This window comes from Homo sapiens, chromosome 20 (assembly GCF_000001405.40).
Source record: "Homo sapiens chromosome 20, GRCh38.p14 Primary Assembly".
NCBI classification, from domain to species: domain Eukaryota; kingdom Metazoa; phylum Chordata; class Mammalia; order Primates; family Hominidae; genus Homo; species Homo sapiens.
In genome coordinates this window covers 12,684,562-12,687,936 of record NC_000020.11, presented here as the reverse complement: position 1 = coordinate 12,687,936, position 3,375 = coordinate 12,684,562, and positions in this window count along the sequence as shown.

Below are 3,375 nucleotides of genomic sequence, written 5' to 3'. Positions count from 1 at the left end.
GATGGACCTTTGTATATTTGGGACACGGCAATTTCTTTGGTGTGGTTAGAGGTTGCACTTGCTAGGAAGAACAAGAGACGCTGGAGCTGAAGAATCAGGTCTGGGTTAGATGGTGGATAACCTAGGGATGCCATGATAAGGATTTTATCCTGGAAGAAATGGAGAGGGTAAGTCTAGAAGCAGGGAGGCCATGTAATGGCATATGGCGGGAGTCTACATCACAGATGGTGAGAGCCTGAAATAAGGTATTGTGCTGCTGCTCGTTGGGAAGCAGACCCTGAGCCAAGGATTTGTGTGTAAGTGGTTTATGAAGGCAGTACTTTCAGCAGAATGTGTGAGGGAGTATGAAAAGCAAAACAGAGAAGGCGAAAAAGTCAAGCAAGGGTGTGAGTTCAGAAATAGCATCACCCTCAGCCTGGTCCTAGGATGAACTCTGTAGCAATAATTACTCCTCACTCTGTAGCATTAATTACTCCTCACCCTGTATCCCATACCAGCTAGCCATGGGCTAGAATCCATCCTAAGGGAGATGTAAACTCTGAGTCACTTCTGACTCTCTCTACAGGTGAGGCTGGTTACAGGCCCAAGGTCAGTCCTCTGAAGGTCAAAGGTATAAACTTTTAATGGCAAGAGCACAGCTGGGCAATGGTGAAAAAAAGTTGGTTAAAAGACCCTAGAGGATCTGAATGGGGTACCAAGGGTATCCACTACACAGCTGTAATGGGAAAGGGGGACAAAGAACAATAGTTCCCAAACTATGTTTCTGGGGACATTTAATTGTGTGAAATTTCTACAGGAATTAGCAATGGGAATGGTGGTTATAAGTTTGAAATTGCCAAGTTGAATGAAATTAAAAACCTTGTTTACTGCAGAAATTCTCAGATCCTTTGATATCCCAAGAGGCCAATAAAATACAAAGCATTTTCAAGCTCATTTAATGAGAGCACACCTTGGGAAATACTTGAGTTGGGAGGTATTAAGAGTTTGCATTGATTGAACTAAGTAGATCGCTATAAATGTTGAAAGTGAGGAAGGTGTCTGGGTGACTTTCATGTTTCTGACTTGGGCAGTGGGATGGTAGGGCAGGTTGTGGGTAGGGGACATGAATAGTTCATTTTTGGATTTGTTGAGTTTAAAATCTCTATAGGAAGGAAAGAAATCCGTGCTGTTGATTTGCCAGAAAGTTATCACTTAAGTTTAATTTATAGATGAAATTACTCAGGATGAGGGTATAGGCTGTAGGAGAACAAAAGTTCTGAGGGTGGATATTTGGAAGACACCAGGGTTTAATTAAAGAGAGTAAAACCACCCCACAAAGGAAACTGACAAGGAATATTTGGAAATGGAGGATAACCAAGGGCGAAGAGGTCTAGTAACCTAAGAACTAAAAAGATACATTTTTGGTTTGCAAACTAGATCATTTATAATCTTTGTGAAACAACATTAGTGGAATATTGGATACATATGCTATATTGCAGCAGGTTTAATCTAACAGAAAATGGAGCAGCTCCTCTGCAAAAACAAAAACAAAAAACCAAAAGACCAAAAGGAAAGGGGAGAGGGTAAAGGAATAAAAGAGTTTCTTTAGATGGAGAAAGTTGAGTGTGTGATTACACTGAAAGGAAGGAGATTTCAGAGAACAGATAGATGAAAATTTAGAAGTGAAAATAAGTGACTAATGAGGGAAAGCTTTTAAGGTGTTCAAATTAAAGTATTAGGAAAGTGGACACAAGTTTTGTTATAAGGGATGGGGATGATCATCATGGTATGGGAATTGGAAAAATAATTATAACTAATTTCTTTGCTTTATTTGTGGGACATGAGGAATCATCCTCTGAGTGGTTTCTGATTGTAGTAAAACTTTCTTTATTTGTCAGATATTTGTTGACTGTCTAAAGCATGCCAGACACTGTGCTAGGCACTGGTGCTGGGAAGATTAGGCAGCATCTTTGTAGATATAATTATGCTTCTTGTCCTTAAGCAGCAGACAGTTTAGATGGAGAGGCAAACTTCATGGAGGAGACTGTGAATGTTTGAGTAGAAGAACATTGACCAAGAGCATGAAATGGTATTCTTGGATATCAGTGAGCACCCTGCTGAGTAGCATGAATGCTCATCACTGGTTAACTTTCCTCAGTGGTATTCTATTATACCCTGGCAGGAAGGATGAGGATGCAAGTTCGAATGGATCTAGGCTTGGAATTTTGCGATAAGGGTTGACAGAATTAAAAAGATAGGATAAAGAAAATGGCTACAGTGATGCACAATGATGTCCTAGGAGGACAAGCAGAAAGTTGGGAGGTACCAAGGGCCAGCAGAATAATGAGAACAAGTAACTGATGCAGAAAGGGCCGGGGAGAATAAGCTTTAAATTTGTGGTCAAAGATTAGGACTTTTGAGGTAGATCAACTTCAGGTTGTTGATATTTTCATGGAAATGTGTGGTCAAAGATTAGTGGAGGTGAAGGTTATTGAAGTTAAGGAAGTTACAGAACTGAACACCAGTCAGTGTCAACTATGCTTCTAGCAAGAGATGGAGCAGGGATTAAGATCACAAATCAGATGGCAAGGTTCTCAAGAATAAAATAATGAAAAAGTGAATGATTCTGTCCCATTAGACTCTAAGAATAGTAAATTTAAAGCTAAACCAGACATGCACATACAGGACCCAATAGTCAATATGAAACACTTCCCTGATTTACCAAGCAGTAGAACAAGCAATAATCTCTACAAAGCAAAACTCGTTCATGACTATTAAAAAACACACCTTCCTTCTTTCTGTGTCATGAATTTAAAAATAATGTCAGAATGTTTGAAATCCTTCCCTCACTGTTTAAAAGTAATGGACTTAGTTGAGGGGTATAAAATATTCACCTCAAACCCTAGGGATTTGAGAGCATCCAAATTCCATTCCAGTCCCCTGCAGATGACCAGCACTACTGTACACACAAGAGAGGCTCACTCGTGTGTCAAAATAAGGCAAAGAAACTTCCCCCATCTGAGATAGATGTCTGGTTTACTCTTCATTGACATAATCAAAAGTAAGTCATTTCCTCAGGAAATAATAGATGCTTGGCATAATGTTTGTCTATGCTTAATGGTTCAGAGAGATAAATTTAACATGACAAGGGGCAGGATAGACCAAATACACATCATATGGAATGAAGTGAATAGTCACCTATATATTGTCACTTTATGATATTGATTCTTGTTTATAACTAACAGAAGCTTCTTCCAGCTGCTCTATGTTATTCTTTCCCCTCCAGTCTGCAAGCCATTTCACCAAACGCCTATCACGGCAAGCTAATTCTTTGATTAGTTTGACTAAATTCTACACCACCACCAACTTAGGATGTGTGAACCTTGGGTCAAGTGA